At 38.7% G+C, this 25406-nt stretch overlaps 1 protein-coding gene across 30 annotated transcripts in view, besides 1 other annotated feature; it reads right to left on the bottom strand.

Moving 5' to 3' along the window:
• The window catches only part of PTPRM (protein tyrosine phosphatase receptor type M), an 839541-nt gene that overhangs the window by 159762 nt on the left and 654373 nt on the right, over positions 1–25406 (bottom strand). For all 30 annotated transcript variants that reach the window (XM_011525708.3, XM_047437715.1, XM_011525712.3 and 27 more), the window contains one exon: positions 2886–3037. In XM_011525708.3, coding sequence (XP_011524010.1) covers positions 2886–3037 — 152 coding nt within the window. The remainder of the gene's footprint in view (positions 1–2885; positions 3038–25406) is intronic.
• Positions 13647–14469: an enhancer, noted in NCBI's record as "OCT4-NANOG hESC enhancer chr18:8232624-8233446 (GRCh37/hg19 assembly coordinates)". NCBI's record gives its function as "activates a minimal SCP1, AML or CMV promoter by ChIP-STARR-seq in naive H9 embryonic stem cells {active_cell/tissue: H9 hESC(naive)}" and the evidence as "EXISTENCE:reporter gene assay evidence [ECO:0000049][PMID:30033119]".

The following is a 25406-nucleotide window of genomic DNA, read 5'->3' as shown; positions in this document are numbered from 1 at the left end:
ATTAATTGATTAGTGTTTTTAAAACAGTTTAATTTCATTAAAGTATAAAGACTTGAAAGTTGCTCAAGGTGGTTAAACTTAAGTCTAAATTGTAACTCCTCTGATGTAGTTACATGATCTGTTTGATGCTAAGTTCCTCATCAGGACACTAAGACACAATTATACCATTATATTTATGGGAAGCATGACCAAATCCCTGTGCATACTGGGTAATTATTCTGATGACATATTAATATATTTTAACTCTCCAGGAGCAGTCCGTTTAGGAGAGTGCATTTACCTGTGTTTATATTTTTAAAGTGTAGAATCAGTACGTGACAGAACAAAGACCAGAACTCAGGCTGCCTGTCATTTACAGGTATTTTTACAAAATAGAAATGTATCACACTTACAACGCATGTTTATGGTAAGAAGCCTGGAAAAAGAGCACAATGGATGAAAATAAGAATGAAAAAAATGAGTACCAATAAAATATGCCAGGGTCAGTGAGAATAAAGCCTTTTTATTAGCTGCAGACATTTTTATGTGGTTGGTAAAGATGTGCACAGCAGATATAAAATAACTGTGTTTATCTTCACCTTCCTGTCAAAATATTTTAAAAATATTTTCATCTTCTAGCATAAAAACTAAACCCATTCCCACTACCTGTATCTATTCTCCCCTTTTTATAGCATATTAAAGCAGATAGTGCAACTCATACTTGCTTTGCTGGAGAGATTAATCCCCATTCTCATAACTGTGGTCATGCTTATTTTTAAATTCTCCTATTTCGTTTTTCCCCTTGTCTCATTTCTAAAAACTGCTCACTTCACAACTTCCAGCACTTTCTCCCAACCCTGAAAGAGCTCATGCATACCCACACTTGTCATAGGTGTGGTGCTGGCAGCCTTGTGGTCTAAGGAACATCTTTCCTGAAGGTTTCCTCCCCAGAAACTGCTGTCTTATTTCAAAGACATCAAGACAGTATTATGATATCTACCTCTAGGGTCGCTCCTATCAGATGAGATCTGATGAGAACTCATTGCTCAGAGTGGGAGGAAAATGGAAAGTCTACTGCTGTGTTCCTTCTGTTGGCTTTATTGAAGGAAGGCAAAAAATAACGTCTAATAGCCGATCAGTTGTGGAAGCTCCGTTGGCCTCTGCAGCTGCCGTTTGTACATGAACATTTTTGGATTTCCACAGATACATTCACTTTCAAAAAAGTAACTGCCAAATTAAACTTCCTGTCCAGAAGTGAATATTCTTGTTGTTCAAACTTCAAACACCTAGAACTACTAAAGAAGATTCTTGCTTTTGGGATGAGTGATTCTAAGTAAATTGATTCTTGAGGAATTTCACCATGAAATAGAAGATTTGGAACGTTAATGGGTTATACTGCAAAATGAAGATGTATCTGTGTGGTCCCCTTCAAGGAATACCTGCTACTACAAAAATTCTAATCCTGTGTGTGGCCAAAAGGGCTTCTCCAATTCCAGCCCACAACGAATGCATCATAGGTTGCTTTCTTATGGCAGTTAAATAAATTATACATACATATTTTTAAATGAAAAACATTATATCTGCCACAAAAAAAGCAGAGAGAACTCTATGAAAAAATGGGAAGGAGCTTGGGTACACTGAGACCCCATAGCTTCTATTTCCTGCACTGAAAATGACAGGAAAGGGTAAAGAAAGAAGATCAAGGATGAAAGCAACAGTGCTGCCCTGCCCATTGGTGCCAAAGCAGCACCTGTGCATGCTCCACTGGGCCATGTGTGTGTGTAGTACAAACTGATGGAGGAGGATGAAGTGGGACAACTGCAGCCGCTACAAGCAGAAAAATGTAAGACTGAATTCGGAGCTCAGCCGCGTGTACGAGAAACGCAAAGCTCAGGGACAGGCACGTGCATTGACCACACTGTGATCTGGAAGAGGAGGAGTGGAGGGGAGCTGCAGTACCACACTGACCACAGTGGGTATTAGGACATGAGCCCACACCGTCCAAACTGCTCCCAGTCGCCCCACGCCAGATGCCATTTCTGTGCTCCTCACAGCCACAAGGCCCACCGGCCTTTAAAATACTACGATTATTTTTTTGTAACAGGAATAGCTGCACTTTAATTCCATCCCCATGCTGACCAGAATCCTGGTTATGCAGCTCAGGCCTGAGGCACAGATTTCACACAGTAAAGAAACCCCCGACCTTGAACTCACCAAAGTGTGCCCTAAACCACAGAGTGAGGTATCTCCCTCTGGTCTCCGAGATTACCAGGGACAAAGCAACTACTCCTTTTGTGCTTGATATAATCAATCTAATTGTTAGTTTCCTAAAATAATGCCTTCTACCTGGATCACAGGTAGTAGTATGGGAAGGCAGTAGCTGAGGTTGGTTTACACACCTGGTATGAAGCATAAGACTTGTGAAGCTGAAATAGAGTTTAATTTATTAATTGACACTGACAGCCCTATAATAAAGGCAGAACCTGTCATCTAAACAAATAAACAATTAACTTGTTACTGCCATTTAGTGAACTGTTTTTATAACAGGCTTCCCATGTGTAATTCCACACCTGGATAGTTTACAAATGGGATCTAAACAACAAGAAGGATGATGAGAAGCAGGTGCCTTCTTCCTCAAAAGAAGGAAAGCCTCGTGTCACTGCTCTCTAAATCTTTACAGAAACTGCACTGTGGTTTTCTGGACTCTCTGATCTGGTCCTATCACCTTTAGAACATCTCTGCTAAGCAACCTGTGGCACAAAGGATCACTGAAAATGACTGAAGAAACCAACACGGCATAAAAATTTCTTCAGGAAGCTTTTTTTTTTTTTGAAATCCCCTAGTACCACCTGGAATCTTGCAAAACCAAGGAGATGTGTTAGAAGCCAAGAAACATATGCACTTACATCTCCCATTCAGATTGTGCGTGTCCATGAATGAGAAAGCCTCGTCGCAGTTTGTGCCCTGCTCAGCATAGCTCTTGTCCATTGAGTTCACCATCACAGTCATCTCCTGTCGGGTGCTGCTCATGGTCTCTTTCCGCTTCTTGGCCAGTTTCCTTAGGATAAAGAATTCAATTATGTAGGCATGCATTTGAACGGGATACAGAGCTTTGGCATGTATATTGACAGATGTTCAGGAATAACATCTACTGAATTAATCCTATTCATTCAGAGATGGATGTATAGTGCCTTATTTGTGGCAAGCACTCTGCCAGGCTGCAGACACAGAGATGAAAAACAGGTACTGTCTATCCTCAAAAAACAAAACAAAATAAAAAACCCCAAACAACCAGAAAGATAAAACACCACAGCCTAAAACACTGTTTCTCCTATTATAAGCTAGATTAAAATGACCAATGATTCTAGTACAACACAATCATAATCTAATTGTTACACTCCTAGAGTTACTAAGTTTTTACGAAATTATTGTCAACATCACCATATACAGTGTCAAAGAGAAGACTCCCTTGAGTAAATATTTTCCAAGCAAAAATGAAATAACAGATGAATCTAAAAGGCACATTGTTAAAACTAAAGAACAGAACTAGGTGAGGAGTCAAGAACGTATAATTGGAGTATGTTCATACAGGGAGCAGAACCTGACACAGAACCTACAAAGCTCAGAGAGCTCAGGCTGTAGGAGGATCAAGGGGAAGGTACTGAATTCTCAAAAGGCTATGACCCTGTCCCAAATCCCAAATGAACCCAGATTAGTTCCCATCAAGTTTTGTCAACCCCTACAGAGCAGAAGGTTAAAAAATGTCATGTCGCTGGGTTCCCTGCAACGTTCAGCAGGAGTAAGGCTTCTTTGTTCCCTCTTTCAGTGGAAGAGAATGAAAAAAAAGCAGAGAGATTTCTAATTCTTTTGGAGACATAGGTTAATCCTGGCCTCTGCATCCTGCTCGCTGACCATCAAAAACTCAACATCTAAAATGACTGACACCTGTACAAAAGCCAGAAGACTTAAAGGGAAACTAACATAAATAAACAGGTAACACAAATTTTTATAGATCTTGCTACCAGAGATTGTTTTGTGTACCCAAGACAGACAAGATGAGAATTAGAGATGCCTAAGGAGAAGGTATACAGTGAGAAGGTTTAAGAACACCCACAGCACGATAATACCAAATATACTATGCCCTAAAATATTCTAATTGTGCCCAAGCACTTAACAGCATCTATGAAAGAAAACCGCACCTCCTTCTAGTAAATCATCTTGACACTGATTGACCTAGGACACAGAATTTAAAATGAACCACATAATCAAAATCACACTCATATTAGGTGATTGCTAATGCAATGTAAGGCACTGACAACATAAGACCATACGGATAATCTTTATTACCATTTCTAAATGACACATAATCCAAATGCTTTCTTGCCTGTAGTTACAATAATATTTTAATTTCATACTTTGAAGGCAGAAGGGTTTCATTAATAAGTTGCCTTTTTATTGCTAAAAGCTGTTAGAAAAGAGACATATTTTTAAACAGAAAAATGAAAATTACTTATAACATCTCTGACAGTGTTAAAGCTACAAAGATTTTGAAAGATGAGCCAGCATGACTCCTCTGGGCACTGACACCACCCCTCTCTTGCCCCGTGGGGATCATGATCATCCCTTCTAGAGCCTCTCTCCTCCCAGCTAGCCATGCTAGTTGAGCCTGGGTGTTCTCAACACATGTTCTGGACAGAGGCAGCACTGGACTCCATCTCCATAGCTGCACTTACAATAATACATTTTCTCTTCACTTCTGAATCTGCCAGATCACTGGAAAAACATTCTCAGGCCAGGTCTCCTCAGGAACACTGAAGTGGAGGACTGAGATCATTAGCTCCATAATTCAGGCAAAATGCCTTCTTTTTGCTTGAATTTCTTTGATTTGCTTTGGACTGATTTATGCCAGTAATTGCCTCAATATTCTTTTTTGTTCTGCCTATAAAGAGAAGCATTGTGAACTTTACTAGGCTTTCCTCTTTGCCTTTTCTTGCTTGAATTCCTCTAATCCTAAAGGTTAGGAAATGACAGGTACTGTGCTTCTTGTGTGGTTGGCTGGGAGGGATATATGTGCCAATAAAAGCTATGCTTGTACTGGAAAAATTCTTTCTCCCTTCTAATCCTCCACGTGCATAAACTAATTTCAGTGATGTCACACTCATCACTTAATTGCTGATCTTTAAGCACAAAAGAAGCCCTGTAAAGACTGTGAGAGCATGCTCAAATCAAACAGAGGTCCAGGCAGACACCACAACATTAAGCTCATATCCATAGGACATACTGTATGTCTGTGAACCACCTTCTAAACCCAGTTCTCAATGTCTTCTGCAAGCCTTCATGCATTAACCCTACACATTAGACACCTTTTTACTTTCAGCAGATGTCATAAACATGAATGTCTCCCTGGGACCAGGCAAGTAATATAAGTGGAGGAAGACAGTGTAAGACAATAAAGGGTTGTGGAGAGCTGGAGGGGAACAGTAACTCAGCTCCTGCACACTGATGCCCCATGGAGGTTCAAGTCATTTCAAGTTTCAGGAGAAACTAGACCCGACTTTATATCAACTCTTAATTTTTACGTGTTGTCAAATAATTCAAATTTAAAAATAAATCACTACACAGCCCAAATAAAGCATGTTTGTGGGCACTTTTGTTTTTCATCAATAACAGCACTTTGGAAATGTCATTGTATTGGAACTGAAGGAAGTTATAATATAATTATCACCAAATTGCTTTCATTTTCTTTAATTTTTAATTTTAATTTTTTATTTTTTGTTGAGACAGAGTCTCATTTTGTCATCCCAGGCTGGAGTGCAGTGGCACAATCTTGACTCACTGCAACCTCCGCCACCCAGGTTCAAGTGATTCTCGTGCCTCAGCCTAACAAGTAGTTGAGACTACAGGTGTGAGCCACCACACCCAGCTAATTTTTTTGTATTTTTGTATTTTTAGTAGAGGTGGGGTTTCGCCATGTTGGCCAGGCTCGTCTCAAACTCCTGACCTCAGGTGATCCGCTCGCCTCGGCCTCCCAAAGTACTGGGATTACAGGCATGAGCCACTGCGCCTGGCCACCAAATTGCTTTCAAATATACATCATCTATCACCCCCAAGTTCAATATGCTTTGAAAAAGTTTAAAAGTGCCTAGCCAATGCTTTACACAAAGCTGTTGACACAGGGACAGAAAGTGAGCACATGCTGTAGGAAAAACGGTGCTGACAGACCTGCTCCATGAGGGTTGCCACAAACTTTCAATTTCTTTCTTTCTTTCTTTTCTTTCTTTCTTTCTTTCTCTCTCTCTCTCTCTCTCTCTCTCTCTCTCTCTCTCTCTCTCTCTCTCCCTCTCTCTCTCCCTCCCTCCCTCGCGGGTTGCCACAAACTTTCAATTTCTTTCTTTCTCTTCTTTCCTTCTTTCTTTCTCTCTTTCTCTCTTTCTTTTTCTTTCTTTCTTTCTTTCTTTCTTTCTCTCTCTCTCTCTCTCTCTCTCTCTCTCTCTCTCCCTCCCTCTCTCTCTCTCTCCATGCAGGTTGCCACAAACTTTCAATTTCTTTCTTTCTTTCCTTCTTTCCTTCCTTCCTTCCTTCCTTCCTTCCTTCCTTCCTTCCTTCCTTCCTTCCTCTCTCTCTCTCTCTCTCCTCCCCTCCCTCCCTCCCTCTCTCTCTCTCTCTCTCTCTTTATTTTTGAGACAGAGTCTTGCTCTGTCACCCAGGCTGGAGTGCAGTGGTGCGATCTCGGCTCACTATAAGCTCTGCCTCCTGAGTTCACGCCATTCTCCTACCTCAGCCTCCCCAGTAGCCTTTCAATTGATTAAAAATACAATATACCCAAAAGAGCCATAAAGTGAAGCACAGTAAATCAATGTATGCCTGTACAGGTCAAATGCTTTTGTCCATAACTACAGATGGCTGAAAGGGTTACATCAAGAAAGAGACTCTGTTAGGATTGTCGATAAGTAATAGTTTGTTTCTCTCTTTTTCTTTCTCCCTCTTTTGAGCCTCCCGTTTCAGACCTTACTTTTTTCAAGTGAAAACTTGGAACACTATCAGAAAAGCTTTGTGAACTTAATGAAACAAAGTCTTTTGTGTAGGAAAACTAAAGTTGAAACAATTTTCTTTGCAATCTTATGTAAAGACACAAGTAAATTTATTTTCCATTTTGATTTACAACAAATGGTTTGCCGAAAATATTTTAATCTCCAATCTCCAAACTTGCACTGCATGAATCTCAAAGGCCCTTAGTAATTAAATTAAAGGTTCTTACGAATATCTATAAATAGATCATTAAAATTTAAAGAAAGGACTTGGTGGTTTCTAGCCTGGCATGAAAGGAGTTTGGAAGTCATAACTTTTTCCTAACAGTAAGTCAAAGCTGAAAAAACTGAAAATTAATAACTTTTCTTAGATTTGTTGGAGAACTGAGGCTACAGGGCAAACCACTGCCCCCCAAATTGGAGAGACCAAAAGGTAAATACAGAGAATCACAACTTACTGGAGCTGAACTTCATGAACAGAAACCTCTGTGAGAGCCAGAACCTAGCCAGGAAAACCTAAACTGTAGCTGACAAACTGCTGGAGCTCAGTGTGGACACATCTTAGAGGTAAAAACTCCAGGGGGAATTAGTTTTAAGGGGGCTCACACAGTTTTGTGAGTTTTACCTCCAGGAACCCTACCAGGTTTTCACAGAGAAGATTTGAGACAAATCCCCTCAGGCCTCCAGCAAGAAGCACTGGTAAGTAGCCACTCTGAAATACATCAGCAGTCAGCAGGTTTGTTCTGTTCTTAACAAAGCCTGCTCTTAAGAGAAGCTATGTGACATGGATGAAATTGGAAATCATCATTCTCAGTAAACTATCGCAAGAACAAAAAACCAAACACCGCATATTCTCACTCATAGGTGGGAAATGAACAATGAGAACACATGGAGACAGGAAGGGGAACATCACACTCTGGGGACTCTTGTGGGGTGGGGGGAGGGGGGAGGGATAGCATTAGGAGATATACCTAATGCTAAATGACGAGTTAATGGGTGCAGCACACCAGCATGGCACATGTATACATATGTAACTAACCTGCACATTGTGCACATGTACCCTAAAACTTAAAGTATAATAATAATAAAATTAAATTAAAAAAAAAAAAGAGAAGCTATGTTTACCAGTACCTAACCTGCCAGACTTTTGTCAGAGCCTAACTGACCTGGGGGAAGAAATACAACTCCATCCCACGTTAGCCATCCTATCCCAACTAACGGTGGGGGAGAGGAATAATGAGAAGTATTTGTGAAGTCCACAGTCCAGAGGCACAGGTTCACTATAGACTAAGACCTAATCATATGACTACAGAGTGCCTCCCCTCCCCCCACACCTTACACCATGTTACTAAAGGCCTATTTACCACAGTTCCTGTTACTCAATACACCATGTGTAGCTTCGCAAAAAAAAAAAAAAAAAAAAAAAAAAAAAAAAACACACAAAACAGTGTGAAGAGACAGAGCAAACAACAAAACCAGACTCTGATATGGCAGAGGCGTTGGAATTAACAGAGTGGGAATTTAAAACAACCACGATTAGTATGCTATGAGCTCTAATGTCTAATTGATAAAGTAGATAGCATGCAAGAACAGATAGGTAATGTAAGCAGAGAGATGGAAATTCTAAGAAAGCCAAAAAAGAAACGCTAGAGACAAAAAACGTTGTAACAGAATGAAAACGCCTGTGATAGTTCATTAGCAGACTGGAAATGGTTGAGAAAAGAATCTCTGAGCTTGAAGATTATCTCAGTAAAAACCTCCAAAACTGAAAAGAGAAAAAAGACAAAAACAAAAACAAAAACACACAAAATGTCAGAATATCCCAAAACCATGGGGCAACTACAAAAGGTGTAACTTACATGTAATGGGAATACAAGAAGGAGGAGAAAGGAACAGAAGAAATATTTGAAGCAATAATAACTATTTCCTAAAACTAATGTTTAAAGCATGTCATTTATCTTCCAAACATTTTGGATTTTTCCAGTTATTTTTCTATTACTGATTTCTAATTTTATGAAACCACAGATCCAGGAAGCTCAAAGAACACCAAGCAGGATAAATGCCAAAAAATCTACACCTAGTAATATCATATTCAAATTGCAGACAAAGATAAAGTCTTAAAAAAAATCCAAGGGGGGAAAACACGTTACTTACAGAGGAGTGAGGATAAGAATTACATTGCACTTCTCCTCAGAAACCATTCAAACAAGAACAAAGTGAAGTGAAATATTCATTATGTTGAAGGAAAAAGCCACCAACCTAGAATTCTGTGTCCTGTGAATTTATCCCTCAAAAGTGAAGGAAAAACAAAGACTTTCTCAAATACAAATTGAGGGAATCTGGGCCAGGTGCGGTGGCTCACACCTGTAATCCCAGCACTTTGGGAGGCCGAGGTGGGCAGATAGCTTGAAGTTAGGAGTGTGAGACCAGCCTAACCAACATGGTGAAACCCCATCTCTACTAAAAATACAATTAGCCGGGCATGGTGGCGCATGCTTGTAATCTCAGCTACTCAGAAGGCTGAGGCAGGAGAATCGCTTGAACCCGGGAGGTTGAGGTTGCAGTGAGCTGAGATCGTGCCATTGCACTGCAGCCTGGGCAACAAGAGCGAAACTCTGTCTCAGGAAAAAAAAAAAAAAAAAAAAAAAAAAAAAAATTGAGGGAATCAGTTGCCAGCAGATCTGCCTTCTACAAAATATTAAAAAGTTCTTCAGAGAGAAGAAAAATGATAGATCAGAAACTTGGAGCTACAAAGAGAAAGGAAGAACATGAGAGAAGGAATTAGTAAAAGTAAAATAAAACATTTTTTAAAATTCTTAATTGATATAGCAGAAAGAAGTTTGTTCAAAATAATAACAGCAACAAAGTATTTGATGATTATAGCTATAGACAAGTGAAATGAGTAACAGCAATAAGATAAGGGACAGGAGAGGAAAATGGAATACTTTGCTATTATAAGAACTTTCACTACCTGTGAAGTGGTACAGTGTTATTTGAAAGTAGACTTGGACTAGCTGTAAACATATGTGAACTCTAGGGCAACCACTGAAAAAAGTAACAAAACATTAAACTAATAAAGAAGACAAAATGGGATAATATAAAATGCTCCATTAAAACCAAAAAAGGCAGTAAAAGAACAGGAACAAAGAAAGAATAAGAGCAACAAATAGAAAACAGTAATAAAAAAAGATATCCAATGTTATCAATAATCATGTAAATGTCAGTAGTCTAAATATACCCGTTAGGCTATGCACTAGGTGGCTCACACCTATAATCTCAGCACTTTGGGAAGCAGAGGCAGGTGGACTGCTTGAGCTCAGGGGTTCAAGACCACCCTGGGCAACATGGTGAAACCCTGTCTCTACCAAAAATACAAAAATTAACCAGACATAGTGGCACACACCCATAGTCACAAATACTCGGGAGGCTGAGCTGGGAGGATTGCTTGAACTCAGGAGGCAGAGGTTGCAGCGAACCAAGATTGCACCAATTCACTCCAGCCTGGGCAACATAGCAAGACCCCATCTCAAAAAAATAAATAAAAAATAAACCAATTAAAAGGCAGATTATCAGATTAAAACACACAACTCAACTACATATGATCTACAAGAAACTTATTTAAATATAAAGACACATAGATTAAAAGTAAAGAGATGGAGAAAAATGTACCATGCTAACACTAATCAAAGGAAAACTGGAATAAGCTGTATTAAATTCAGACAGAGCAGACTTTAGAGCAAAAACAATTACCAGGGATAAAGAAAAGCATTACATAAGGATAAAAGGGTCAATTCTTCAAGAAGACATAAAATTTTTTAACGTGTATGCACCTATACCATAGTGTCAAAATATATGAGGCAAAAGGTGATAGAATTGCAAGGAGAAATAGATGAATCCACTACTATAGTTGGAGATTTCAACCCCTCTGTCAGTAATGGACAGCTCAGCAGGCAGAAAATCAGTAAGGACATGGCTGAATTCAAGAGCACCATCAATCAACTGGATATTACTGACATCTTAAGAATCCTTCATCCACCAGCAGCAGAATACACATTATATTCAAGTTCACAGGGTACATTCACCAGATAGACCGCATCATGAGCCATTAAACACAGCTTAACAAATTAAAAAGAATAGAAATCATACGGTGTCTGCTGTTAGACTACAATGGAATTAAATTAGAAATCAGTAACATGAAAATGGCTGGAAAAATCCCTAATACTTGGAAGATAAAAGATGCATGTTAAGTAAAACACAGGTCAAAAAAGAAATCTCAAGAGAAATTTAAAAAATATTTTGAACCAAATGAAAATTAAAATACAACTTATCAAAATTTGTGGTATGTAGCAAAAGAGGTGCTTAGAGTGAAATTTGTAGCACTGGATGCACATATTAGACAAAAAGAAACATCTAAAACCAATAATCTAAGCTCCCACCTACGGAATCTAAAATAAGAAGATAAAATTAAATCTAAAGAAGGTAGAAGAAAATAAAAAAAAATTAGTGCAGAAATCAATGAAACAGAAACAAGAAGTCAATAGAAAAAAATTAACAAAACTAAAAACTGGTTGAAAAGATTAGTAAAATTGATACACCTCTAGCCAGGCTAAAAAAAAAAAAAAAAAAAAAAAGAAGACACAGATTACTCATATTAGAAATGAAAGAGGGGACATTATTACAGATCCCATGGACATTAAAAGGATAATAAAGAATATTACGAACAACTCTATACCTACAAATTTGATGACCTGGTTGAAATAGACCAGTTCCTTGAAAGGTGTAATCTGCCAAAACTCACACAAGAAGAAACACACAATCTCACTAGGCCTATAGCTATTAAAAAATTGAGTCAATAATTAATAACCTTTCAAAACATGAAGTACCAGGCTCAGATGGTTTCACTGTTAAATTCTACCAAATATTTAAGGCAATCATACCAATTCTCTACCATGTCTCCCAGAACATAAATAGAGAATACTTCCTAGCTCATTCTAAAAGGCCAGCATTTCCCTAATACCAAAACTGAAGACATTACAGAAACAGAAAACTGCAAACCATAATTTCTCATGAAAACAGATGCAAAAATCTTCAACAGAGTATAGCAAATTGAATCCAACAATTTATAAAAATAATTATACACCATGGCCAAGTAGAATATATTTCAGGTATGGGAGGCTGGTTCAACATTTGAAACTCAAAAAATGCAATCCATCACATTGACAGGCTATGGAAGAAAAGTCAGATGGTCATATTAATAGATGCAGAAAAAGAGTTGACAAAATCCAATACCCAGTCTTGATAAATGTTTTCAGCAAAGTAGGAATAGAGGGGAACACCCCTCAACTTGATAAAAAAAAGATCTACTAAAACGCTATAGCTAATATTATACTTAATGTTGCAAAAATAAAAGCTTTCCCACAAATACCAGGATCAAGGCCAGAATGTCCTCTCTCACCAATACTTTTCAATATCCTCTTGGAAGTCTCAGTTAGCTAATGCCATAAGACAAGAAAATGAAAATATCAACAGGTTAAGAAGGAATGAATGAAACGCTCTTTGTTCACAGATGACATGACTGTCTGTGTAAAAAAATCTGAAAGAACCAACAAAATTAGCTCCTAGTACTAATAAGCAAATGTAGCAAGGTTGCAGGATACCAGGTTAATATACAAAAGTCAATACTTTCCTATATACCAGCAATGAGCAACTGTAATTTGACATTAAAGACGTAATACCATTTACATTAGCATCTCCAAAAGTGAAATAATTAGGCATAAATCTAACAAATACGTACAAAAAGTATAGAGGAAAACTGTAAAATTCTGATGAAAGAAATCAAAGAACTAAATAAATGAAAGATTTAATATTGTCCACATGTCAATTCTTCCCAAATTGATCTATAGATTCAGTGCAATCCTAATCAAAATCCTAGAAACTTATTTAGGGTTAATAACAAACTGATTCTATATGGAGAGGCAAAAGACCCAGAATAGCCAACACAATACTGATTAGAAAAAAGTTGGAAGATTGATACTACCTGACTTCCAGACTTACTATAAAGCTACAGTAATCAAGACAGTGTGGTATTGGTGAAATAAGAGACAAACAGATCACTAGGACAGAAGAGAGAGAACAGAAAGAAACCTACATAAATACGATCAACTGGCAAAGAAGCAAGGGTACTACAATGGACAACAAATGGTGGTGGAACAACTAGACATCCACATGCAGAAAAATGAATCTAGACACAGGCCTTACACCCTTCACAAAAATTAACTCAAAATGGATTATAGACCTAAATGTAAAATGCAAAACTATGAAACTCCTAGAAGATAACATAGGAGAAAATCTAGATGACCTTGGATATGGCAATGACTTTTCAGTTAAAATATTAAAGGGATAATCCATGAAAAAAAATGATAAGATAGACATCTTTCCAATAAAAATTCCTGCTCTGTGAAAGACACTGTCAAGAAAGAAGCCATAAACTTGGAGAAAATATTTGTAAAAGACATACCTGGTAATGAACTGGTATCCATAATGTTCAAATAACTCTTAAAACTGAACAATAAGAACACAAACAATGGGATTAAAAAATGGGCCAGAGACCTTGATGCCTCACCAAAGATGTACACATAGCAAACGAGCATATAAAAAGATGCTCTGCACCATATGTTATAAGGAAAATGCAAATCAGAACAACAAGATACCACCACACATCTGTTATAAGGCCAAAATCTAAAAAACACTGACATCACCAACTGCTGGTAAGAATATAGAGCAACAAGACTCCTCATTCATTGTTGATAGGAATGCAAAAGGACATAGCCACTTTGAAAAACAGTTTGGGCCAGGCACAGTGGCTTACGCCTGTAATCCCAGCACTCTGGGAGGCCAAGGTGTGTAGTGTGCCGGCAAAGGGATTGTGACTAGCTCAGCATTCCACTGGAGGCTATATGATCAAACAGCAAACTGTTTATCATGAATGCAGGATGTGGGCAAACTCAAACTGCTCCTGTCGCCAAAAGGTTTGCTGAGGACCATCACTTCCTGGTGCGGGACTCCTTGAAGTTATCTCCTGAGACATCTAGTACCCATTGTTCCAGGAATGCAGTCTCACAAGCCTGCTGTGAACCAAATGGCCGACTGACAATTACCTGACAACCACCACCCCCCTCCTTGCTATCTCTTTTGCCTAATAAATATGGAAGGCTGTGTACAGCTCAGGGCCCTTGTTCACTAGAAGCAAGGTGCCCCCTGACCCCTTCTTCCAAATATACTCTTTTGTCTTTGTCTTCTATTCCCACGTTCGTCCTCTTTTGTTCAGTCCAATATAGGGTCGTGGGGAGCTTCACAAAAGTGGGTGGATCATTTGAGGTCAGGAGTTTGAGACCAGCCTTGCCAACATGGTGAAACCCCATCTCTGGTACTTGCTACTTAGGAGGCTGAGGCAGGAGAATGGCTTGAGCCTGGGAGGCGGACATTGCAGTGAGCCAAGATCGTACCACTGCACTGTCACTGGGTGACAGAGTGAGACTCCATCTCAAAAAAAAGAAAAACAGTTTGTCAGTTTCCTACAACATTAACATATTCTTCCCATATGATCCAGCAGTTATGCTCCTTGCTATTTACCCAAAGGATTTGAAAACTTATGCTCACACAAAACCTCCATAGAGATGTTCATATAGCTTTATCCATAACTGACAATTTGGAAGAAACCAAGCTGTCCTTCAATAGGTGAATGGCTAAACTGTGGTACATTTAGACAATGGAATATTGTTCAGTGTTACAAAGGAATAAGCTATGAAGCCATGAACAGGCATGGAGGAAACTTAAACGTGTGTCACTAAGTGAAAGATGTCAATCTGAAAGGCTACATAATGGCAAAAAATGCAATTGCTTTTGCACTGACCTAATATTTTATTATTCCAACTACATAACACTCTGGAAGAGGCAAGACTATGAAGACAGTAAAAGGATTAGTGATTGTCAAAGGTTAACGGAAAGGGAGGGATAAACAGGCAGAGCACAGAGGAGGTTCTAGGCTGTGATCTTATTTATATGATACTATAATGAAGGATGCCTGTCATTATAGAGTTGTCAAACCCATAGTAGGTGCATTATGAAGAATGAACCCTGATGTGAACTACAGCCTTTGGTGATAATGATGTGGCAATAGAGCCTCACGGATTATGATAAATGAGGATACTGTGTGTGTGTGTTGGCAGGGGGGTGTTAGAACTATATGGGAACTCCGTATTTTCTGCTCACTTATGTGGTGAAACAAAAACTGCTCTAAAAATAGTTTATTAAACATTGCAATACTGTTTAGAAAAATAATTGGAGGGAGAAAAACTGTCATAGCTCAAAAACTGTAAAGTAGAATAAAGGTAGGACAGGAGAGAAATGCGCGCTGAATTCAAATTAAAGGAATGGTTATTATACTCTACTATTTCCTGAGTATTTCTTTTCTACAGTAAAAATGTTTAAAAGTATGAAATGGAAATAAGGGAAATGGAAGAAAAACCTCTTGGCAAGTTATTATGTTTATGATGGGTATGAATCACAACCGATAAAGAAACCATGGTGAAGAATGAACTCTTCAGTAATGTGTCCTATGGGAGAGCTGCAGGACAAATTGCTGCCAACTAGGAGAACAAATTGCCACCTGGCTGGAAGGAAGAAGAAATCACTCCTCCTCCAGTTTCCCGCTCTGAAACTGGACTGAGTGGCAATTGGGAGAGGAGCAGGATGGATGGGCCCGTCTGCCATGGGTATCAGTGGATTCAATATGGATGCTCCTCCCAGTCCTGGTCTATTGCCATTCAAGGTCACAGGCCATGGTTCCCCAGAGCCTGATTACCCCCACCCTCTGTGATAGACCCTGCCATGCTAGGTTATGTCAACAGATTGTCACTGGGGAAATGCTTATTAGCACTGAGCCAAAGATCACTGTTGGCCACAGAAAAGGTGTTTTTCAAATACTACAGGGATAGCAAAACTCATGGAAAGGTAAATCACATATAAACTAAGAATGAAAGGGTAAATGGCTCTTTGGTCCTGGCATCTACAATTACGTGTGTGCTTAGACTTAATTAAGGGCTGCAGTAGGAGCTGGTAACAAGAATAAGTGTTTATTTTTTATTAAAGAAGGGATGAAATTATTATTGGTTTAGTCAAACAATGCATATATTATACCAAATTACAAGATCCACTTAAATAAACCAGAATGAATAAGAGGTTGTCACATTAAAGATGGATCTGTAAGAATTAGCAGATCCTGTTGCATTTAAAGGTAAAATTTTAAGAAAGAAACATAGTGGTCTGATATTTAATTATTCCAATTCAAAAGAACCAGCACTGCAACAGTTGACAGAAATACAACATGAAAATAGTAATTACAAAAATTTATGTAGGGCTTCAGATTAGCCATGCCAGGCACTTTATGTTCATTAATTCGTTTAACTCTTACAAAAGCCCAATGAGGAAACTGCCATTATTATCCCTATCTTCCAGAGAAGGAAACTGAGGCACAGTGGTGCTAAGCTGTCCATGGCCACATGGCTAGAGAACTTTAGACATCTGGCATTATTTTCCCATGTTGAGATAAAATGATCCTGGGAATCTGGAATCTATTGGCATCACTAGCTACACTTATGGTTGCTTATGTCTGGACACTGTCCATAAAGTTCCCAGCTTGGACTTTATAGCTGTTGACTGAGGTGAAAGTGTTCTTCTAACATCGCTAACTGTATCATCACTTAAGAAGCCCACTCTAGAGACAACAAACTATGGCACACACTACCTACCCAGCCACTCTCTGTTCTTCATTCACTAGTTAACAGACATACATTTATCACAAAAAAACAGTTTTTTTTAAGACAAGTCAGGGTTTTTATCTTTGTTGGGCCTCTGTTGTAGAGTTCACCTCTTTACACCATGGGGTTATATCAAATGACAGACTGAAGGACTCTTAGAAAGGCTGATAGGCTAAAAAGAAACCAGACAGAAGGACTTGGATATGTATCTTCCTACCTCACCAAGTGAGAAACGGGTATGGGTTTTATTCACATATCGCTTTAGGCTACAACTTTATTTCAGATGACCTAGTGGTAACAACACCACACGATGAGTCACTGGTGAGGAAAGGTGTCTGCAAATGAACTTGCACCAGAGCAAAAGAAGCAAAGAGGTGTGTGGATCTCTTCAGCAAGTAACTGTCAGGATCTCTTGGTACATGTGTGTATACACACATATATATATAACCATGTGTACTTCATGTTGAAGAGGTTCAAATAATAGTCATATTATACAAATATAATAAAAATTAGTCTTTCTCAAACTTACAAGTTGAAAATCAAATATTTGGAAAAGATTGGCTTTCTTTTAAAACAAGTTGAAATTACATGTATCTATGATCACCTCAAAACCATGACACAAATGTCTTGCATGACTCTGAGATGATAATTAAATTACAATAAACAAAAGAATCATGATGATGTTATTTATGGCAACAAAATTCAAGGAATCATATGCTAAACCAACATGTGAGATAAAAAATACACCCAATATCCTTATATGTTAAATAATTTTTATTTTCAGAACTAAAAAATTAAGAAAAGAGCCTGCTGCTTTCTGGAGAGGGCACGAGTACCTAAAGTTTTCTAACTGTAGAGTGTTCAATGGATCAAAAGGAAACATTTTCCTACTCTTTAATTTCAAAAGAATCTCTGGTTAGTAAGCATTATCCTTACGTACTTGGAAGCCACTGTTTTTGTTCTTAGCCAACAGGTATTTTACTATGCTCCTGGGCAAACATCACGTGCCAGCTGGGTGAGGACAGGGCTTTATGCCTCTTCTGTTCTAACATCTCCTGTTAGAAAGTGCCTGGCATGTGGTAGGCGCTCACCAAACATTTGTTTGTTCTTATTCTGCTTGTCTGATTAATCTTAATACCTTACTTCCTGATCATAAAAAATATATGATAAACATAATCGTGCATAAGAGAGAGGCATGACAGACAGACAGACGGACACTGACTGATGCATGTCTAATGATCCTGAAGGTTCCAGCTCAGGGCTTGGTGACGACTCTCACATTTCATGGCTTGATCCTATGGTCTACCACTTTTCAAGTTGTTGAAAGAAAAAGACCTTGGAAGTTGAAAACACCTAACCACTTCATAGGTATATATATTTTAATTTCTGAATTTTTCTTTTTCTTTTTCTTTTCTTTTGAGACGGAGTCTTGCTGTGTCGCCAGGCTGGAGTGCGGTGGTGTGATCTCGGCTCACTGCAACCTCCACCTCCCAGGTTCAAGCGATTCTCCTGCCTCAGCCTCCCAAGTAGCTGGGACTACAGGCGTATGCCACCACACCTGGCTAATTTTTGTATTTTTTTTTTTTTTTTTTAGTAGAGTTTGGGTTTCACCATGTTGGCCAGGATGGTATCGATCTCCTGACCTCGTGATCCACCTGCCTCGCCTCCCAAAGTGCTGGGATTACAGGTGTGAGCCACCACACCCAGCCTATTTCTGATTTTTTCTAAATGATAAAGAGGAATATAAATACATATACACACACATATACACATATTTTAAAACAACTTCATTTATAACTTGAATTTAATGTTATTCATATGACAATATAACAGCCCTGGAAAAAAGCCTTTGGGTCGATCTTGAAATGCACTTAATCATCACTGTCTCTCATTATATATCTGGCTGGGGCACCTTCCCTAAGTCCCTTAGATATCGTTCCCACCAAGGAAAAACTTGTGAGCTCTGTTTCCTCCTTTCCCTCTCATTTTCTATCAGTCCCTGGGCCTGGAGCAGGAGTGCCCCATACAGATCAGTTCCACCGTGTCTTCAGCTGGGCTCCTCTGAACACACAGTGTGGCAAGACCTGCACATAAGAGGCATTCTGCCCTCCAATATCCACCTGCAAATAGATCCCTCCTGAAACAACACCCTCCACTTGGGAGTAACCCACAGCTCACGTGAGCGCCTAACGCCATTCCCCAAACCAACCGAAGATTTTTAAACACTGAAATAAGTCAGCCATAAAAATAATAGATGTAGTATCTGTCATCCTTAGTAATATTTTGTTTAGTTTTATTTCTCACATCACAGCAATATGAATCCAGAGGGGCTGGAACCGGTGACAGTGCAAGAAATATGAAACTGGTACAATCCATAGTCAAGCAAGATGGGAATCAAGTGACATTAGTGATAGTGGGTCCCCACTCACAGCTGGCTTATGCTGCTGAATTCCACATGTGCACATTATCTGGAAATTTAATGGTTTCAAAAATGTCACTCTGCAGCAAGATTAAATTGGTATACTGTTGATCCTCTATCAGACTATAAATATAAGTGAGAAAGAGAAGAATTTTTAATGCATGTCATATTGGAACACTACCTCCACTTTCCTCTTGATGATGTTTGTTAAACTCGCTAAAAAATTCTGGAATGTCTCTATGTAATAGAAACAAGGCAAGCCACTGATGTCTGCACATAGGACAATGGGGGCCTGATAAAATTGCATATTCTGGATCCCACTTTAAGCACTGACTTCATAAAATCCAAGTGATCCCTTGGATGTGCAGAATTAAGTATCCAAGCATCTCATAAACACAAAGGATGAAAATTTTTTTTAAAAAACCTTTCTATTCCAAGTTAAAAACATAGATGCTGATTAATTTATGTGTGAGTAAATACTTCCTGTTTGTTCAGGAGCCCTGGCAACTGGCATGGAAAGCAGTAACTAAAAGAGGTTGCTTCAGGTGCATGAATGATAACCCAGAAAAGGATGTCTCTTTTTGGAGGGCCCAGATCCCATTCACTGGGCAGAATGGTCTCCTGAAGGCATCCACCTACTAATCTCGAAACCTGTGAATATATTTTATTAGGTTGGTGCATAAGTAATTGTGGTTTTGCCATTAAAAGTAACGACAAAAGTCGCAATTACTTTTGCACCAATCTGGTACATTACTTGGCAAAATGAAATTAAAGCTGTGGTTGGAATTGAGGTTGCTAATAAGCTAACTTTAAAAAAGGAAGATTATCCTAAATTATCCAAGTGGGCCAGTGTTATCACATGACACCTTAAGAGGCAAAACAGCAGGTCAGAATGATGGGTGTGAGGAGCACTCAACCCACCCTTCCTGCCTTTGGAGATGAGGAAGGGGCCACAAGCCAAGGAATGCGGGTAGTCTCCAGAAGTGGAAAAAAGGCCAGGAAATGAATTCTCTCTTAGAGTCCCAGAAAGGAACACAGCCCTGCTGACACCTTGACTTTAGCCAAGCAAAACCTGTGTCAGACTTCTAACCTACTCAACTATAAGATAATTATTTTGCTTTAAGCCACTAGGTTTGTAGGAATTTATTTACAGCAGGAACAGGAAACTAATACAAGGCATATAATCAAACAGTGTTCAGAATTTTAATATTTTATTTCCTACAGGCATTTCTGTGGTCATTTGACTAACCATTTGGCTTTTCTAAAACACCCATCTATCAACAATTCTTCCCAACAAGGGCCTACATTTTCTTATTAATTTATCCTAAACAACTGTCACTTTATTGTAAAAAATGCCTTTTTCTCCTAGGAAAAATATAAAAATCACACTTTAAAAATCTTTAGATCTGATTCTGAATTTCTTGTTTCACAGATATAGATCTCAAGATGAACTAGCTATATTGCAGAACTTGAGTATACTGGTAGTGAAAGGTTCTTACTTGTTAATAAGAATGTAGAAAGCAAACGATTTGGCCTTTACATGCTATTTATTTGTGTTTGTATGTATGTGTGTGGGGGGGATATTGGGGGCTAGGTGGGAATGATGGGGAACAGAAGGGATTGCTTTTTCAAAAATTAAAATGAAGTCTCAAAAGCATCACCAAAGTTGTGTTATGTTAACGGAGTGATGCATTTTTTTTTTAACCACACATTTGCCAACATTTGCTATCTGTTACAGAAACGTTCCTCAATCTGATGGGTGAAAAGATGGCATCTTATAATTTGTTGATTTGCATATACTTGATTATATGTGAGGTTTCACATCTTTTCAAATGTTATTCAGCCTATATTCCTACTCTGTAGTTGTCTGTTTATATATTATATCCCTTTTTCTATTGGGTTGTTATTGTTTGTTGATGTCTACAAATTCATTATATTTAGGCTACTGATACTTTGACATATAAGTATTAGAAATGTTTTCTCCTAATCTATAGCTTGTTTGAAATTTTGTTTATGGTTATCTTTTGGTATACAGAAATTTATAATTTTGATATACTCAAATGTATCAATTAAGTCTATTATGATTTTAGGACGTTCCCTACCCTGAGGTCATAAAGATATTCTCTTATATTTCACTATTTACCAATGGTCTTTCTCTGCTTAGTGAACACAGACAAAGGGGATGAGTTAGCTGCTGGCATGTCAGGTAAGCAGACAGCAGGGCTACCGATGGTGAAAGTGGCTGATGTGAGCCTAGAAGCAACGGCTGACCCACTTCAATGAGCTCCCCTTGTGGTCAGATTGTGGTCTCTAAATGCCATTTTCCAGTAAAAGAAACCAGGGTTTATTAGAGAAATGACTGATTCCAGCCATGGGGCAGACAATACAGAAGATGAGCTAAGAACATCCTGTTGTACCAGAAGCTCTCCAAAGTTTTGGGGTTATGTTAAAAAAAAAAATACAAGAGACAACTTGAATGAACTCCTATTGGCCAAAGGTGAGATACTCTGAACATCCAAACAGTAATTACTCTAAAATATTCAAACATATCACATATGTTAAAATCACTGATAATGACACTACTGGTCATCTTACAAAATCCTAAGGCACCAACTCATTCTGAAATTGGTAAATAAGAAGAATAAACTTCAGACATTTATCTTGAGTTTCCTATATGAACTGCATTTCACAGTAACCTAGCAGGTGAGTAGAGAATGACACTTAATAAATACAGAAGGAATGACAGAATTAAGATGTCACCATTTTGAAATCCCTAATAAAATAATGTATCAGGCAATCATCACCAGTAGCTTAAAAAACCATTAAGTGAAGGGCTGATGTGGAACTTTAAAATGGATGGATGAGGTTGGCAAAACTGCAACTCGCTAATCAAGTTCAGCCTTATATGCTTCCTAATGTAATGCAAGAGGAAGTACAGAACACTACTTATGAAAAATTCTTACCAAAATAAGAAAGTTGAATCAATTAATCCTCTAGTGCTAGCCCCAGTTCACAGCAAGTCCAGATAACTGAGGGACGCGTTAAATGACAGCATAAGAATGCATCAGTGAGTTTGGAATGTGGGGGAATTCTACAGGATGAAGGGTTTATTCAACAAATAAGTAAGGTAGGGATGAACCATATTATGCCACATAACAAATAAGGAATCATATATAAAAGGTTATGTGACTTGCCCTGGGTCACAAATGAATCAAGTGTGGGATCAGAATAAAAATCCAGGTCTCTGTTACTTTTATTCATTTTTTTCCCCAATACATTCTGACCAGGATGGCTGGCTTGACAAGCTGAGTCAGAACCAGCTTTCAAATGGGCAATCTGGTTTTTCCAAGTCTCAATGGCAATCTGTAGAGAAATGAATTGAGATGCACACGCCATATGAAGCCACTGAAGAGACTGTTCCAAATGTATAGTTCAAAACATAACAATAAGGCTGATTTTTGAAAACAGAAATATAGCTGCACTTGTAATTGAGTGTTTCATCCTGAAAGAGGGTTCTCCTTTTCCTCATTGACTGTCTTTCCCCTTTTCTTGTGATTGAAGAGTCACAAGATTTAAATAAAAAGAGAAAACTGGAGCCTACTCAGGTGGCAGTTGCATGATTCTTAGAAGCAAATGACACAGACACAAAAGACATTTCCTGCAATGTACAGCAGACTTTCAAATTATCTTTCTCTAACTAATTAGCATTGTAGAAAAGTGGGGTTTCATCATTAAAGAAGCCATCTGCTTATCTGGGAGCTGTCTAGCCAAAAGTGCTGGCAACTTTCAAGGAATACCTACCAAGCAGGTACTGTACTTTCTTTTGATTTCTGAAGTGAGGAGAAAGACTCTACCATACTTCTCCCCAACCCAAGGAATTCAAACACAATGACCTAGTCTGTGTCATGCAATGGATGAAGCTTTTCACTCACATCAAGAGTTAAGAGAGAACACTAGGAAGAAGGTACTCGAAAGCTCTCCTTGTATATACTATACATACCAAGAGAAAATTTATGGTTTTGCTTAATTTCTCAAACACCTATCACTCCCCCCACCATATTAAATGTTATGAAAGCTGATATAGATTGGCGTTCGACATAAACCACAATTCCTAAACTGTGTGAAGTGTTATCTTGAGCAGTCTGAACAGCTTAGACTTCTGTGGGGAGAGGACAGCAAAACTGAGCCCAAAGCATCTTCAATCAGGTGCAAATTTCTTTTTCAATCATGTAACTTTGGACTGCGCTGGTGGCTGGTGATAGGCATGCTGCACTGCGGATGGGTCTGTCCACTCACTTTGTCACAAGGAGAGCATTCGGCCTTTCATTCTGCTCATGATGCTTGAAGACATACTTCTTTGAAAATAATTCTTAGTCCTTTAAAAATAAGTAGTTCTTTAAAAAATATCTGTAATATTTGAGGTTGACTTAGATGAACAGAAAATAGAAAAGCCTTTTGTTAATCTATCCAACTTTAGGCCACTGACTTGATGTTTCCTTAACATTTCATTTTGATAAGACACAAGAATTAACTCTTGACTCTTAGAATTACTACCACATGGCTATGCATTTCAGTTTATTTATAATTAGTCAACCAGTTTTTATTTATTACTTATTTATTTATTTTTGAGACAGAGTCCCGCTCTGTCTCCCAGGCTGGAGTGCAGTGGTGCGATCGTGGCTCACTGTAATCTCCACCTCCCAGGTTCAAGCAATTATCCTGCCTAAGCCTCTCGAGTAGCTGAGACTACAGGCATGTGCCACCACGCCCGGCTAATTTTTGTACTCTTAGTAGAGACGGGGTTTCGCAATGTTGACCAGGCTGGTCTCGAACTCCTGACCTCAGGGTGATCTGCCCGTCTCAGCCTCCCAAAGAGTTGGGATTATAGGTGTGAGCCACCACACTAGCCTATTATTTATCTATTTTTGAGATGGGGGGTCTCACTATATTGCCCAAGCTGGTCTCGAACTCCTGGGCTTGCAATCCTTCTGTCTCAGCCTTCTGATCAGCTGGGATTAAAGGTGCAAACCACCATGCCCAGTTCAAAAAATGCTTAGAAAACCAAATAAGGCATAAGCTGCCTATAGTGAAACCCTGGTGTCATTCTGTGGAATGCCTTGGAGGCAAAGCTGAGAAGTGGGTACATAATTCTTAGACAAGGAAAGTCCTGCTGAGCAGGAGAATAATATGACAGACATTACATTTTAGGAAAACTGATTTTCCCTTTTCTCTTACCTCCTTCTACCTCCATTAACCATTCTCTGTCCCCGCTCAGATGAAAACTTATTTCAATGAGTAAATGGCAATCGGAAGAGATCCCGTCCCCAGCCCCCATACTCTGTCAGTTCCGGCTTTCCTTATGAAAGAGATGGAAACTTTGTAAAATCTTGGTTTCCTCATATGCTTGACAGAGAAAGCATGTCATCTACTTTGTAGGGGGTTGATGAAAATGAAATGAGAATACATGTAAAGCACAGTTCCTATACCTGGTAAGGACTCAACAGATAGGAGGGAAAAATGAGACAAAAACTTTCCCTAATGGCTTAATTTTGTTTTAAACAGCACTGTGATTTCTTCTTGGATATCTGGATACCCATGAAAGGTGTCTTTTCCAGTATTCATTCTGTTAAATCAACCAAAATCTGGCCTGAAAAAACCTCCATATTTGCATACTTGAGTTCTTATGGACAAACCACAACTTATCTTAGCAGGTCAGTGTTAAAAGAAAATCTTTAGCCAAATTAAATGTAATGGAGTTTAACTGAGCAAAGAATGATTCTTGAATTGGGCAGCCTCCCAAGCCAAAGTAGGCTCAGAGACTCCAGTGCAGCTACGTGGTGGGAGACAATTTATGGACAGAAAAAGAAAAGTGAGGTACATACAGAAAACTGAAGTGAGGTACAGAAACAATGAACTGGGTACAGTGTGGTATTTGCCTTGCTTGAACCCAGTTTGAGCAGTTGGCCACCTTTGGCCAAGACTTGGTGATTGGCACAATCACAATCATTGGTAGGTTACAGTCTGTTTAGGTTACAGTTCACTATGCACAGGGAAATCTGTAGGCCAAAATTAAAATATGTAAGGAGGAAGGTTTAGGCTAAACTTGATTTAGTATCAGCGGACTGAAAACCTGAGCTAGGAGTGTGCTTCTGTAACAATAGC

This window comes from Homo sapiens, chromosome 18 (assembly GCF_000001405.40).
Source record: "Homo sapiens chromosome 18, GRCh38.p14 Primary Assembly".
In the NCBI taxonomy this organism is placed as follows: Eukaryota; Metazoa; Chordata; class Mammalia; order Primates; family Hominidae; genus Homo; species Homo sapiens.
Note: the sequence above shows the minus strand (reverse complement) of the source record. Positions and strands in the feature narration are given on the sequence as shown.